Source organism: Homo sapiens, chromosome 3, assembly GCF_000001405.40.
Source record: "Homo sapiens chromosome 3, GRCh38.p14 Primary Assembly".
In the NCBI taxonomy this organism is placed as follows: Eukaryota; Metazoa; Chordata; class Mammalia; order Primates; family Hominidae; genus Homo; species Homo sapiens.
Window position 1 is genome coordinate 138160092 of NC_000003.12, and position 15720 is coordinate 138175811.

General features: G+C 39.8%; 1 protein-coding gene across 1 annotated transcript, besides 2 other annotated features; it reads right to left on the reverse strand.

Annotated features, from left to right (window-relative positions):
• Positions 358-859: an enhancer, noted in NCBI's record as "OCT4 hESC enhancer chr3:137879291-137879792 (GRCh37/hg19 assembly coordinates)". NCBI's record gives its function as "activates a minimal SCP1, AML or CMV promoter by ChIP-STARR-seq in primed H9 embryonic stem cells {active_cell/tissue: H9 hESC(primed)}" and the evidence as "EXISTENCE:reporter gene assay evidence [ECO:0000049][PMID:30033119]".
• DBR1 (debranching RNA lariats 1) lies at positions 897-14830 on the reverse strand. Its single transcript, NM_016216.4, has 8 exons — positions 14508-14830; positions 13411-13535; positions 11542-11622; positions 10016-10101; positions 6990-7214; positions 3687-3767; positions 3258-3403; positions 897-2491 (listed from the first exon to the last, which is right to left on the reverse strand). Exons 1-8 carry the CDS (start codon positions 14702-14704, stop codon positions 1798-1800), a joined length of 1635 nt encoding a protein of 544 aa, NP_057300.2. The 5' UTR covers positions 14705-14830; the 3' UTR covers positions 897-1797.
• Positions 14536-14745: an enhancer, noted in NCBI's record as "active region_20601". NCBI's record gives its function as "activates an Ori minimal core promoter by ATAC-STARR-seq in GM12878 lymphoblastoid cells {active_cell/tissue: GM12878}" and the evidence as "EXISTENCE:reporter gene assay evidence [ECO:0000049][PMID:35858748]".

Consider the following 15720-nt stretch of genomic DNA (forward strand, 5'->3'; position numbering starts at 1 on the left):
GAGCCAAGATTGTGCCACTGCACTCCCACCTGGGTGACAGAGTGAGACTTTGTCTCAAAAAAAAAAAAAAAAAAAAAAAAAAGTAAAATGAGTGAATTATTCAACTCAAAAAAGAAAGTAAACCAAAAAATGGAAGGAAATAAAAATAAAATCCCCCAAATCCTAGACCGTTATTAAGTCAAATGTTGACAAGGTAGAAGCCAAGTGCTACATTATTATTCTCCTAGATTAACTCCTGGATTTAGACTGCCATGGGATGATGAGATCCTGGAACAATCTTGGATTCCACGACTTCTGATATGAAGTACGGAGTGACAATCTCTTCAGGTGGCCCAGGTATTTTAACCAGAGATAGCACAGAGGTGTAGTTTTTCTATATGGATCTTCAAAAATACTTTAATTTAGCAATCCATCACGCAGCATGAGGGGCAGTTATTTGTGCAGCTTGATCCTTGCTAGTAATTAAAACTATGGGGTGAACTATGCCAAAAATGACCTACATAGTTACTATAGTTACATGAAAATTAAAGCTAAAGTTAAAACACAATATGCTGGCCGGGCACAGTGGCTCACGCCTGTAATCCCAGCACTTTGGGAGGCCGAGGCGGGCAGATCACGAGGTCAGGAGATAGAGACCATCCTGGCTAACACGGTGAAACCCCGTCTCTACTAAACAAAATACAAACAATTAGCCAGGCATGGTTGCGGGAGCCTGTAGTCCCAGCTACTCAGGAGGCTGAGGCAGGAGAATGGCGTGAACCCAGGAGGCGGAGCTTGTAGTGAGCCGATATCTCCCCACTGCACTCCTGAACGACAGAGTGAGATTGCATCTCAAAAAAAAAAAACAAAAAAAACTCAATATGCAAAAGTCAGCAGGGTTATACTAATCTCAGCAAATTAAGATTGTACGTTTACCAATGTTTAGTATTCAGAGTAGTTTATTTCCTGAAATCTTATATACCATCTTCAATTTCAATTTTTATTTGACAGATATTAAAAGCTGATCAGGAAAAATATTTATAATAAATGAAAAGAAAGCATACATCATAATATATACAATGACTTGATTTTATAAAACAAAATATAATATAGCCATATTGTATACATCAAAATGTTTACAGTGATAACAAGTCCTTGGAGGCAAAAATCCTTGTCTTACTCATCTTTATGGTCCCATATTATAGCAGAGTGCTTGGCACAGAGTAGATGTTAAGTAAGTGTTTATTGTAAAAATGGAAGTGAATAATGTATGTCTTCAAAAAAAAAGATACCCAGTCAAGTAAATATATGAAACTTTAATATGTTTGCATCTGAAACATACAAAAGCCTAAAGATAAAGTCAATATCTAACTAAAATTCTCTAATGTATCTTCATTATTATAAAGTTAAGTCTTTAGTCAAAAATTCAGCTCTAAAAATACAGTCTCAAAAAATCACATATCTACATATAATACTAAGACAAGTAAATTGTCGGCCAGGCACAGTGGCTCACGCCTGTAATCCCAGCACTTTAGAAGGCCAAGACAGGTGGATCGCCTGAGGTCAGGAGTTGGAGACCAGCCTGGCCAACACGGTGAAACCCTGTCATTACTAAAAATGCAAAAATTAGCCGGGTGTGGTGGCGGGCACCTGTAGTCCCACCTACTTGGGAGGCTGAGGCAGGAGAATTGCTTGAACCTGGGAGGCGGAGGTTGCGGTGAGCCGAGATCACGCCATTGCACTCCAGTCTAGGTGACAAGAGTGAAACTCCATCTCAAAAAAACAAAACAAACACAAAAACAAAACAAGTAAATCATCTTAAGCTGCATCGTCATCATCATCATCCACTGCAGCGTAAATGGCTTGATTCCTCCTCTTAATTTTCTTTCTTTGTTCAGGTTCATGTTCATCACTCAGCCTCTTCAATGGCACCTTGGTTAAGTCCTCTCCATTCCCTGACTCCACAGTCCCACCAGGTTTCCCCTCTCTATCAATTGTGGAATCCACCGTATCATCAGAAGATACAATCATAGAGCCTGGCAAGATCCTGACATCAGAGAAACTTGCAGAAAACTCAGAAGCTTGATCAGAAGGTTCTACCGATGGTGTATTCATGCCACTATGTGCACTTACAATACTATCTTCATCTTCTTCTTCATCTAACATTATTTCATCTGGATTAATAGAAGACAGAGCAGATGTGTCTGTATTATATTCACTCTGGTCTTCTCCAGAGTCATTACTCTCCACATCATCCTGTTCTTCATATTCACCACACACATGATGTTCTTCCTTGGACTTCTGAAGCCTAACATTGATGTCTATGATGCCAAGTTGGGCACAAAATTCAGTTGTCTGAGGATTGATCCTATGAATCAGCTGCATTTGTGTCTGTGGCTTGCTAGGATCATAACAAGCAGCTGTTACACTAAAGTTACATGGAACCTTGAGATCATGATTCAATTTTTCCAATACTTCTTTCATACCTTCTTCTGTTGCACTATAATCCCACCTATAAAAGTACAAAACAATAGCTTTTTACATTTTATCAGCTCTAAACAATAAATGATGAAATCTAATTACAGACTTCAGGTGCAAGGATAAAAAATAAGCCATCTATCAAAATTCCATTTTTAAAGTTAGAGTTAATTTAGCAAAGGACCATTTAGAAAAAAAAATAATTCTTAGAAAAAGCCATCTTTAACTCATACTCCAAAACAATTTTAATGTGTGGACTATATCTTCACCATATCATGGTTTTATGTACACTTATTCACTTATAAATTTATTTGAGGTAATGCTCAACAGTCCATTTTCCTGTCTCTTTTAGATGGAAAACCTGCAAACTTTGAATTGTTCTGACATTCATTCAACAATAATTCCCTTGATTAAAAACAAAGGTGGAGGCCAGATACAGCAGCTCACGCCTGTAATCCCAGTACTTTGGGAGGCCGAGGGAGGTGGATAGCTTGAGCTCAGGAGTTCAAGACCAACCTAGGCAACATGGGAAAGCCCCATCTCTACCAAAAATACCAAAAAATTAGCTGGGCATGGTGGTGCATGCCTGTGGTCCCAGCTACTCTGGGGGCAGAGGTGGGAGGATCCCTTTAGCCCAGGAGGCAGAGGATGCAGTGAGCCAAGATCCAAGATCACACCACTGCAGTCCAGTTTGGATAACAGAGCTAGACCCTGTTTCAAAACAAAACAAAACAAAGGTGGGAGATATAAAAATTATGCATGCAATGGAAAAAGCAGGTCCTAAATAAAGTCTGACTTACCTTGCATGCAGGCCATTATTTTCTGGCATATTCCACAGGCGCCCAGTCACATTAATAAGATCATCCGTAGCCCTGAGAATAGTGAGCCATTCAATATCATATTCCAAGTAATCAGGAGCACTGGGGTCATGTTCTATCTCTAATATCTACAGGATGAAATCAATGTTAAGAAATACATATATATTTGTAACAGTCTAATCACTTTAATATAATTTAATAAAATAAAAAGGAATTTAATTTAAATTTAATTTCAATTATTTAATTTTAAATCAATCCATTTAATTTTAAATTAATAAGTAAGATACCCCCAAAGAATTCTCAGAATACATAAATTACAAACAGAACAAAAAAATTCCGAAAGGAAAATTATATTTTTTTAAGTCTCTGGAAGAGTACAACTATATTATAAAGCCACTTCACTCTTCTTACCTGAAGAAAATCTCTATGTGGTAAGCATTTGTCCAAGGCTAAAAATTTGGTTGCTCTGGCTGTCTGTCCTTTATCCTTTGCCTGGACAATATGAATCATGATTTAAGAAAGAATGTTAAAACAACCACAGGTAATTCTTCATACACGGAATAGGATGAAAATAATCTTTATCACACATACCCCTAAGTTGTGTGTCAAAGGAATGACTGTTACTTTTCCAAAATTAAGTTAATTCTATACCCACTTGTGTGATAAAAGAGAAGGCATTTAACTTCTCAGACCTTCAATTTCCATACAAAATTCAAGGCAAAAACTAATGATGATGATGATGTTAACTCAAAGCATTGAACACACATAAATCAAAGCATATAACCCAAGGATTAAAGATAAACAAAAGAGCTTAAAAGTAAACTGGCAGAACTTAAACTATACAATTTTTAGAAGAACCCACAGGAGAAAATCTTTGTAACTCTGGGTTAGGCAAAGATTTCTTAGCTACAACACCAAAAATAGATGTGATATATCCATAGAATGAACTATTACTCAGCAGTAAAAAGGAATGCAATATTTATACATGCTACAACATGAGTGAATCTCAAAATCAAGCAAACGAAAGAAATCAGTTGCCAAAGACTATATATTTTACGATTCCATTTAAATGAATGTTCAGGAAAGGCAAATCTATAGAAACACAAAGCAAGTTAGTGCTCCCCTGGGGCTGAGGGCAGGAACAAGGATTGCCTTCAAGCAGGCACAAAGGATCTTTGGGGGTGATGGACAAGTTCTAAAACTAGATGATGTGATATTAGCACAACTCTGGAAATTTACTAAAAATCACTGAATTGTTCACTTAAAATGTGGTTTTTTTCTTTTCTTTTCTTTGTTTTGAGACAGAGTCTTACTCTGTCGTCCAGGTTGGAGTGCAGTGGCACGATCTTGACTCACGGCAACCTCTGCCTCCCGGGCTCAAGTGATTCTCATGTCTCAGCCTCCCGAATAGCTGGGATTACAAGCATGTGCTAACATGCCCAGCTAATTTTTGTATTTTTAGTAGAGATGGAGTTTCGCCATGTTGGCCAGACTGGCCTCGAACTCCTGGCCTCAAGTGATCCACCCGCCTTGGCCTCCCAAAGTGCTGGGATTACAGGCATGAGCCACCATGCCAAAACATATTAATTTTATGCTATGTAAATTATACTCCAATAAAGGTTTTTTTTTTTCAAAAGTGAATTGACAGAAAGAAACGTGGAAAGAATCACAAACATGTAGGTCATTTTGGAAAAGGTTAAAAAAACTTTCCCCAGCATCTCTAGTTAAAACCTGAACTCCAGAGCATGGCCTCTAAAAGGCAGTTGTGATCTTGTTCCAGCTTCATCATGGAGGAAAAAACACAAGGAAGCAAACTATGGTATCTCCTGCTGAGGACCAAGCAACAGTTCAGTTCTGGTGAGGTACAAGTTGAGTATGCCTTATCTAAAATGCTTGGGACTAGAAGTGTTTTAAATTTCAGATTTTTTCAGATTTTGGAATATTTACAGAATACATACTGGTTTAATATCCTTAATCCAAAAATCTGAAAATTGTGTGTCATGTCAAAAATTTCAGATTCTAGAGCATTTCAGATTTCAGATTAGAGATGCTCAATCTGTATTAAGAAAAATGGAAGGCATGGCCAGGCGCGGTGGCTCATGCCTGTAATCCCAGCACTTTGGGAGGCCGAGGCGGGTGGATCACGAGATCAGGAGATCGAGACCATCCTGGCTAACACAGTGAAACGCCGTCTCTACTAAAAATAGAAAAAATTAGCCAGGCGTGGTGGCGGGCGCCTGTAGTCCCAGCTACTCTGGACACTGAGGCAGGAGAATGGTGTGAACCCGGAAGGTGGAGCTTGCAGTGAGTGGAGATCGCGCCACTGCACTCCAGCCTGGGCAACAGAGCAAGACTCTGTCTCAAAAAAAAAAGAAAAATGGAAGGCATGGAGATTATAGGCAGATATTGGCAGCAAAGCAGTCCAAGGAAAAGTGATCTCTGGTGTTGGTAAAGGGGATAAAATAGAAAGTGGCAGTCAGAGGAAGTTGAGGAGACAATTACAAAGAGGTCAAACATATTATTAATGCAGAGATACAATGAAAAGAGTAACCTCTCCTTCTCCCAGTGAAACTGGGAAGTGAGAAGAATAAATCCACAACAGAAAGGGCGTATAGGTATATTTTCAGACAAAACCTTCCAAACCGTGTTTGAGGAACATTTTTAAAGTATACCTCTAACACAGAAGTGTTTGGTTAAGTAAGTCTGGGAAGCGTCACATTCTACTCTTGAGAAAGGCAATGCCCATTAGTGCAATAAAGACTCTCAGAAATTCTCTACATGTCTCCAAGAAGAAATCTGTAACTCTGTTAACCCAGCATTTTCTACACAGTTTTCCTATGGACTACTTTATGGGAAAGTCAGAGTTCAGCCAGAATCAGAGGTGAAAGGAAGAAATGCATACTTCCATAGAAGTTTCATTATAAGTATATATTTATTTTCTACCTTCCATCAAGTACATCATCCATGCAGTTAAGCAAAGAAAACTGGGGGTCATCCTGGACTTCTTTCCTCCCTCAGTCACCAAATCGCAATGATTCTCCTTCTAAAATCTCTCTAGAATCTGCTTCATTCTCTGTATTCTCTCTTTGCCTTAGGTTAAAACCTTTTCTTTTACATAAATAGCCTGCTCTGCCTCCCATTTTACATTACTCCAATCCATACACAACAATGCTGTCAAACTAATCGTTCTGAAATGAAAATCTGATTTCATCACTCCCCAAATTTCCCCATCATCTTTGGTTAAAATCATAACTCCAGAGCATGGCCCCTAGAAGGCAGTTATGATCTTGTTCAAGCTTCATCAGTCCCTATGCCTTAGTCCCACAGGAACTACCTACAAGTCCCCAAACACCCCATGCTCTCAGACCTCGAGCCTCTGCACATGCCAGTCCCTCTAAATAAAATACCCTTACAATGTGTTTCTTCCTGGCACTTCAAGACTCAGTTCAGCTATCACCTTTTGAAAACCTTCTCTATCTTCATCTCCCATGTTCCCATCCCACCACAGTCTGGCTTAGGTGCTCCCACTGCCTACGTTTTCTCTCAAACTTATTATACTGTTTTGTAATTGCTTGTCTTTCCCAGAATCATATATTGAGCTACTCACAAGAGGTAAGTTATCTTTTACTTCTTTCTCTAACTTTACAACTGTGTCTGGTCCATAGATGTTCAATAGTGTGTGTTAAATGAAAGAATAAACATTTTGTTTTCTACCTGATGCTGCATCAAGGCGGCAAACTTCACATGAAGGTGGGCAGAAAACCAATAAGTAGGTTTGAGATGCTCTAAAAGCTCTGAGGCAGCTGGACTTCCTAATGTGTTATTTTCCACTTCTTGTCGGAAAAAAGATTTAGTCTTAAGAAGTTGCTTCTTATTTCCATAATGATATATACTTCTTGGCCAATCATGAGACAAGAATATATCTATAGGCTGCTTCAGCTTTCAAAAGAGAAAAAGAGAAAGAAAGAAAACTCTTAAAACAGATTAACCAAAACAATCCCCTCCCTTCTCTCTACCACCATACAACCATTCACCCACTGAGATCTCTAGAATTCTGTATAATTCATTCTAAGGACACTTTAAGAGAGTGATAAAAATACTAGGCAACTCATTCATCTAGGCAAAGAGAAGCTGCATTTTCTCTGCTCATAAATCATTCTTATTTTCAGTGGCAAGGCAAGGCAATGGAGACAGACTCTGATTAGACTGCCAGTCATCTAAGATCTTTAGCACTTAGCTTCTAAAATACACGATAACCATAGTTCTTTTCCTCTTTGGTAAAGAAATTATTATTTTGGGCCGGGCGCGGTGGCTCACGCCTATAATCCCAGCACTTTGGGAGGCTGAGGCAGGTGGATCACCTGAGGTTAGGAGTTCGAAACGAGCCTCACCAACATGGTGAAACCCCATCTCTACTAAAAATACAAAAATTTAGCTGGACGTTGTGGCATCTGTCTGTAATCCCAGCTACTAGGGAGACTGAGGCAGGAGAATCGCTTGAACCCAGGAGGTGGAGGTTGCAATAAGCCGAGATCATGCAATTGCACTCCAGCCTGGGCCACAAGAGTGAAACTCCATCTCAAAAAGAAAAAAAAGAAAAAAGAAATTACTGTTTTGAAGATCCAGAGACACTAGATTTCACGAGACCTCTAACATGACTGATTCAGTAAACCCAAAGATTTACCAGGAAAAAAAAAATTCTAATAGGCTCACATAGTATACACTAAAAAACTGTGTTTACTACATAAATTAGTATTTCATTAAACAACTTAAGGAAACAAAATATACTCCAGACTTTACTTATCCCCAGAACCTTCAAGTAATCTGAAACGAATACTTGAAAAATGAAATTAAAACAACTTAAATACCGGCTGGGCACAGTGGCTCACGCCTGTAATCCCAGCACTTTAGGAGGCCGAGGTGGGTGGATCGCCTGAAGGTCAGGAGTTCGAGACCAGCCTGGCCAACATGGTGAAACCCCATCTTTATTTAAAATACAAAAAATTAGCCGGGCGTGGTGGTGGGCGCCTGTAATCCCAGCTACTCAGGAGGCTGAGGCAGGAGAATCGCTTGAACCCAGGAGGCAGAGGTTGCAGTGAGCCAAGATCGCACTGTTGCACTCCAGCTTGGGCAACAGAAGTGAAACTTTGTCTCAAAAAAAAAAAAAAAAACTTAAATAACTGCTCAAGACAATACAAAATATTAGATATTAGATAGATATGACTAACCACTGAATAACTGGTATGGCCAACAGATGCAACAAAAATTCAAACTAGGGTAATGACTCTAAACTAGAGAAGTCATGGCTGGCTGGGCATGGTGGCTCATGCCTGTAATCCCAGCACTTTCGGAGGCCAAGGCAGAAGGATCGCTTGAGTTCAAGAGTTTGAGACCAGCCTGGGCAACATGGCGAAACTCTGTCTCTAAAAAATATGAAAAAAATTAGCTGGGCGAGGTGATGCATGCCTATAGTCCAAGCTATTCGGGAGGCTGAAGTGGGAGGATCACCCAAGCCTGGCAGATTGAGGCTGCAGTGAGTCAAGCCATGATCATACTACTGCACTCCAGCCTGGGTGACAGAGTGAGACCTTGTCTCAAAAAAAAAAAAGAAGAAAACTCATGGTTGGGAAATGGCATCTAAGTTGGGTCTTAAAGGACTGGTAGGATTTAGATAGGTGAAAGAGAAAATCTATTTAAGGGAACTGTATGCACAGGGCATAAAAGAAACACTTGCAAGAATTGTTAGACTCCTGCAGAGGCTCTAGAGACAGTGTGATGGGCATGAGTGCAGTCAGGCAGGCTCTACCACTAAACTTTGGGAAGTCCTGGGCAGGTTACTTACCTGTCTGAGCCTTGGCTTCTCATCCTTAAAGGGATGAAGTTAAGAGTTACATCTATTTCATAGGGTTTGAGTGGAGATTATATGAAATACCAAGTGTGAAGTCTGTTTAGCCCAGTGTCAGCCATGTAATGGGTTCTCAAACAACCTAGTTTCACCTACTCTGCAATTAAGCAGTGTTTCCATACCACCTTCACAATTTTCCCATTTCCTCTATCATCTTTACTATTACTTATTTTCTATTTAATACCATTACTTAATTACTATTACATAAAATAAAATGTTTATTTCAATATTTTCTTTAAAATATCACTTTAACATTTTATTTTAAATATCACTTTAATAGGTATTCTTTAGCCTTAACCTAAGTAATATTTGAAATCATGAATTAAATCTTTCATTCTTACTAAAATAAACTCGTAATTATTGAAGTAAAAAAAATTTTGCCGGGCACAGTGGCTCACACCTATAATCCCAGCACTTTGGGAGGCCAAGGCAGGCGGATCACCTGAGGTCAGGAATTTGAGACCAGCCTGGCAAACATGGTGAAACCCCATCCCTACTACAAATACAAAAAATTAGGCAGGTGTGGTGGTGTGCGCCCATAGTTCCAGCTACTCAGAAGGTTGAGGCACAAGACTTGCTTGAACCCAGGAGGCGGAGGTTGCAGTGAGCCGAGATCGCGCCACTGCACTTCAGCCTGGGTGACATAGTGAGACTCTGTCTCAAAAAAAGAAAAAAAAAAGGTTCATCTGTGAACCTCCTAAAAACTCAAGATCCACATTTTAAAAATACAGAATTGCTCTTCTTGAAAGTAGTATACCAATATGACCAAAATACATTTTGGCACAGAATTACTTTAAAATGTTTTCAAGTCTGCTGTAATGCGCTTTTTACGTACCTGTTTTAATTTATAGACTTCAATATTTCTCACATGATATATACTCCTGATTGTAGATGAATTATAAGGGGGGCACTCAAAATGACCTTAGATTGAAGCAGAAAAATAAGCTATATTTAATTTCCTTAAATACTGCAAATACAAAGACATATACACAGGTCTCCAAAATATCATGTACACCTTCAATATATACGATTTTAAAAAGTTATCTAGGGAAATTTTTTAAAAAGATGGTGGACTGCAGTCTCCTTCCTTTGCAGGCTCAAATAAGGGTGTATCTGCTTTCTAAGGTCCCACACATGGTTGCTGGCACACTTCAGTTACTTTCTAACTGTTGACTAGAGACTAGTTCCTTATGCTCCCAATATTAATAAAATAACAAATTATTGTTGTTTTAAGCCGAAAAAGAAATATGTGTATTATATGCATAAATGATATCCCTGAGATAAAATAGAAAAACCTGATAAACAGCTTCCCAAAAGTGGTTCCAATTTGTACCCACACCTGCCACAGAGAAGACAGCCTATTTTGTACCTCCATTCCAACAGTTTAGAATAAGAAAGAGCCAAGTGGCAGGGAACAGACTTGTAACAGTTACATTCAGGATGTAAGTTTTAGCTGTCAATGTAATTCATGAAATTTGTGAAATCGATGTGAATCCAAGCTATTCCTTTAACTTTGAAATCAAAGTATAATTCATTCAGACACAATGAAATTAATATGCAGTTGTGATATACTTATATAATGGAATACTATTCACAAATGAACAGATTAGATTACATGTATCAACACAGACTTCAAAGCATGTTAAACAAAGAAGCAAGTTTGAGAAAGATACAAGCAATACGATACATTTATATGAAGCTTAAAACAAGTACATTGTTTAAAGTTCTTACATATGTGGTAATGATGTAAAATAATCAAGTAAATTATAATCACCAAATTCAACACAGTGACTGCCTGGCAAAGACAGGGAGGGAAGAAAAGAAGGGAACGGGATTGAGGACAGATAAACAATGAACTTTAATTGTATCTATACTGTTTTATTTCTTAAAAATAAAAATAAAAAAATAGCAAAATACAGGCCGGGCGTGGTAGCTTACGCCTGTAATCCCAGCACTTTGGGAGGCAGAGGTGGGTGGGATCACTTGAGGTCAGGTATTCGAGACTAGCCTGACCAACATGGTGAAACCCCGTCTCTACTAAAAATACAAAAAAATTAGCCGGGCGTGGTGGTGGGCGCCTGTAATCCCAGCTACTCAGGAGGCTGAGGCAGGAGAATGGCTTGAACCTGGGAGGTGGAGGTTGTAGTGAGCCGAGATCGCACCACTGCACTCCATCATGGACACCAAGAACGAAACTCTGTCTCAAAAAAAAAAAAAAAAAAAAAAAAAGCAAAATACTAAGACTTGATAAAACTATATCGAGGATACAAAGATATATGAAAGAGTCAAAGTACATATCATGCTTAACTTACTCTGGGGCATGCAAGTTCTAAAGTTTAAAAATAATTCTCAAAACAATACCTTTTCGATAGTCATGAGATTTAAAGATACCAGAGATTCCACCGATCCTTACACCTCGGTATTTTACCACACCAGCCAAACCTAAACAATACAGTTAAATAAAATTACTGTAGGCAAAAGGAATCTCTACACCGACTGAATAAACCATTCCATTTAGATGGAATTCCACACAGTTCTAAAATTATTTGAAAATTAAGCACCATGATGAGGTTATGCTTTTTACATAATAATATGCCAACAGTGTATTAGGGATATATTATAACAGTATATAAAGGTAAGGTCTGGAATTAGATGAGCCAAAACACTAAGTAGATTCTGGAAGGGACAAATGAGATAGGGTACTGAAAGTGAAACAGACATAATTTGGTACCTAACTGAATACACGGGTGAGGTAGTGGGAGGTGGAAAATGTCCTATGATGGATTTACATGTATAAACCTGAAAATCAACAGGTATAAGGTATAAAGAACCTACAGCTTCTAGTTTCATTTCTGATTGATCATCTTCTGACAATTTCACTTCTTCACAATATTGTAATATAGGATGAATACATCAAAAGATGATCAGTAAGTAGCAAAGTAGGGAAACTAAATTTCTGAAATATGATCTCATCATTGGTAAAATCTATAAACTGTTCTAGAAAGAATATACATTTAAATAAAGGGATGAAGCTGGGTGCGGTGGCTCATCCCTGTAATCCCACCACTTTGGAGGCCCAGGTGGGCGGATCACTTTGAGCTCATGAGTTCGAGACCAGCCTGGACAACATGGCCAAACTCAGTCTCCACAAAAAAATACAAAAAAACAAAAAAATTAGCCGGGCGTGGTGGTACACGCTTGCAGTCACAGCTACTTGGGAGGCTGTGGTGGGAGGATGGCTTGAGCCTGGAAGGCGAAGGTTGCAATGAGCTGAGATCAGGCCACTGCACTCCAGCCTGGGCAACAGAACCAGACCTTGTCTCGAAAAATAAAGGGATGAAAAGGCTATATAGTTTATAGGGGCCAATATTGAGACAATCTAATCAAATCTGAAAATCTAAAAGCAGATTATAGGAAATGCAAAGGATAAAAGGAATCCAATCAGCTAAATCCTGAATGCAGGAAATGCTGCAAGACAAATTTCCTGTTTTCTTCAGCAAGTAAATGGCATGAAAAAGCGAGACAGGGAGACTATTTTAGTCTAATAGACTTCAGAGTCATGACAACCAAATGAAATGGGCTGGCCTTGTCTGGGTCCTATTTAAACCAATTGTAAAGCAGACATCTTTACATTAAGCAGGGAAATCTGACCACGAACATGGCAATAGATAATGATTACTTCAGTTAAGTATAATAACAGTACTGTAGTAGTATTTTTAAAGATCCTTATCACTTAAAAACATGTACTGAAATATGTATAAGTGAAATAATCTAACGGTTGGACTTGCTTTAAATACTCTAGTCATCTCTTCCCACAAAAAAAAAAAAAAAAATCCAGGAGATTGCAATATAATAGTCGTTGAAGCTGGTTAACAGGTACTGAGATTCATCATACTATTCTCTACTTTTGTGTATGCTTAAGAATTTCTATTAATAAAAGTTTAAGGTCTTTAATTCAATAAAAATTGTAAGAAAAAATGAAGGGACTACAAATAGTGTGTGAGGTCTTTGCAATTATATTAGCTAGTGCTTAAAACACTAGATGAAGGGCATATTTTCATGATCAACCATTTAATAATTAACTATCTTAATTAAATTTTCACGATTAAGTATTTAAATTAATGACATTCTCCAAACACCATACATGTCAAGACACAGTCCAACTAACGCAAATCCTGATAAGCTCTTCCATCCCAGGAAAAAAAAGTATCCACAAACACAATCACATACCTAAATAATAAATGTTTGGTGCCACCCAGCCACCATAGGGTAACTCTTGCAAATGATTTGAGGCTTCATGGTTTCCCCCAATGAAGAGCGTGAGAACTGGAGCCTTTTTCTCTCCAGAGTAATACCTAGAACATAAGAGCAAAGTCAGTTACCACAATTAGGCATAGCAGAAAAGCAAATAAGTTCCGAAAAAAAAAAAGAAACTGAGTTCATCATAAAAAGTTAAAAAGCTCTTTCAAAAGGAATTGCCTGGGGCTGGGCGCGGTGGCTCCCTCCTGTAATCCCAGCACTTTTGATGGCCGACACAGGCGGATCCCCTGAGGTCAGGAGTTCGAGACCAACCTGGCCAATGTGGTGAAACCCCGTCTCTACTAAAAATGCAAAAATTAGCTGGGTGTAATCCCAGCTACTCGGGAGGCTGAGGTGGGAGAATCGCTTGAACCCAGGAGACGGAGGTTGCAGTGGGTCAATATCGCGGTACTGCACTCCAGCCTGGGCAACAAAGCGAAACTCTGTCTCAAGAAAAAAAAAAAAAAAAAAAAAAGGAATTGCCCAGTATCCATCCTTGCCCTTAGGAATGAAGAGCTTCCACCTTGAGCCTCAAGTCAGTGCCCGTTCAATTAAGTCAAGAACTGTTTCGAGTTCATTGCCATAACCTCATCTTCTAGAACCACAACAAGCACATAGCAGGGGCCCAGTAAAAACTTCAGGATCATTGAATGAACTAATTCCAGAGTCCTATCAAGTACAAGGTAGCTATCTAAACCTGTCAGCTTCTTCCTCCAGGTTATCCCCTCCCAGGCTTCGACACCCTTTGAAATGGATAAGATGTGTATGGAAAGAAGGAAAGTGACATTTCCTAAGCACCTAATGAGATAGGGTGCTAGTGAAACTGACATAATTTGGTACCTAACTGAATACAGTACCGAACTGAATACATTTCCCGCCTCCCACTACCTCACCCCTGTATTCAGTTAGGCACCAATTAGAGATACAGAGAGAACAAAGACAGGATCTAAGGGAAACAGGCAGCCAGTGGCAGAGGGAACCCAGTCCCACCCCCCCACCGCCAAGTCCGGGCCCGGCCGCGTCCTCACCTGTAGAAGGTTTGCATGTGACGATACTTGGGCGGCACGGCCATGCAGCGTAGATCCGCCTCGTTGCGCACCGCCTGGAAGTCGCCGCAGCACAGCAAGAGGTCGACAGGCCCCGGGCCGCGCCGCTCTGCCAGCGCCAGCGTCTCATAGATCTTATCCAGCTCGCCGTGGCAGCAGCCAGCCACAGCCACCCGCATTCTGCCGGCCTGAGGAGGTGAGCGCTGCCTGCAACGCCCTACACCACAGCCAGCCCAGGACCGACTGATCGCTCAGCTCCCGCCAACTTTAATAAGTATAGCCACCGCCTGGGTGTAGACTCCTGCAAAATAATTCACTTCCGGTTTCCAGATCTCGCGAGAGAGGGACCGGGAAGGTCAAACCTAATTCTGGGATCCCAGGGAACTTATTTTCTTTTTTTCCTTTTTTCTTTTTTTTTAATTATTGTTTTATGCAGTCAATATTTTTTTGTATATACATCCACAAATGTACTCTTTCCATCCTTACTCTTTTCTTCCTGGATTTCCATTTTTCTCTTTGGAATCATTTTTCTTCTGTCTGAAGAGCTCAGTTTAAGTTTTCCTGTTTGTTTAGTGTAGGCCGACGACAGATTAATTTTTTTCTAGATATTTGTTTGTTTAAAAATTTCTTTCCACTCTGGGGAAAATGGTGAAACCCTGTCTCTACTAAAAATACAAAAATTAGCTGGGCGCAGTAGCGCACGTCTGTAATCACAGCTACTTCAGAGGCTGAGGCAGGAGAATCCCTCAAACCCAGGAGACGGAGGTTGCAGTGACCTGAGATCGCGCCCCTGCACTCCAGCTTGGGCGACAGAGCGAGACTCCGTCTAAAAAAAAAAAAAAGAGACAAAAGAGAAAGAGAGAGAGAAGAAAAGAAAAGAAGCCAGTGTGCTGGCTCACACCTGTAATCCCAGCACTTTGGGAGGCAGAGGCGGGCGGCTCACGAGGTCAGGAGTTTGAGACCAGCATGGCCAACATGGTGAAACCCTGTCTCTACTAAAGATACAAAAAATTAGCTGGGCGTGGTGGCGCACACCTGTAATCCCAGCTACTTGGGAGGCTGGGGCAGGAGAATCGCTTGAACCCAGGAGGCAGAGGTTGCAGTGATCTGAGATCGTGCCATTGCACTCCAGCCTGGGTGACAGGGTGAGACTCCGTCTAAAAAAAAAAAAAAGAAAAAGAAAGAAAGAGATGTC

Excerpts from the sequence above, each read along its gene's own strand:
- DBR1 (NM_016216.4), bottom strand. The coding sequence starts at position 14,704 with ATGCGGGTGGCTGTGGCTGGCTGCTGCCACGGCGAGCTGGATAAGATC. Across the intron at positions 3,768-6,989 it reads CCGCCTTGATGCAGCATCAG|GCAAAGGATAAAGGACAGAC; the intron begins GTAGAAAACAAA and ends CATATTGTCCAG. Across the intron at positions 3,404-3,686 it reads CACATAGAGATTTTCTTCAG|ATATTAGAGATAGAACATGA; the intron begins GTAAGAAGAGTG and ends TTCATCCTGTAG.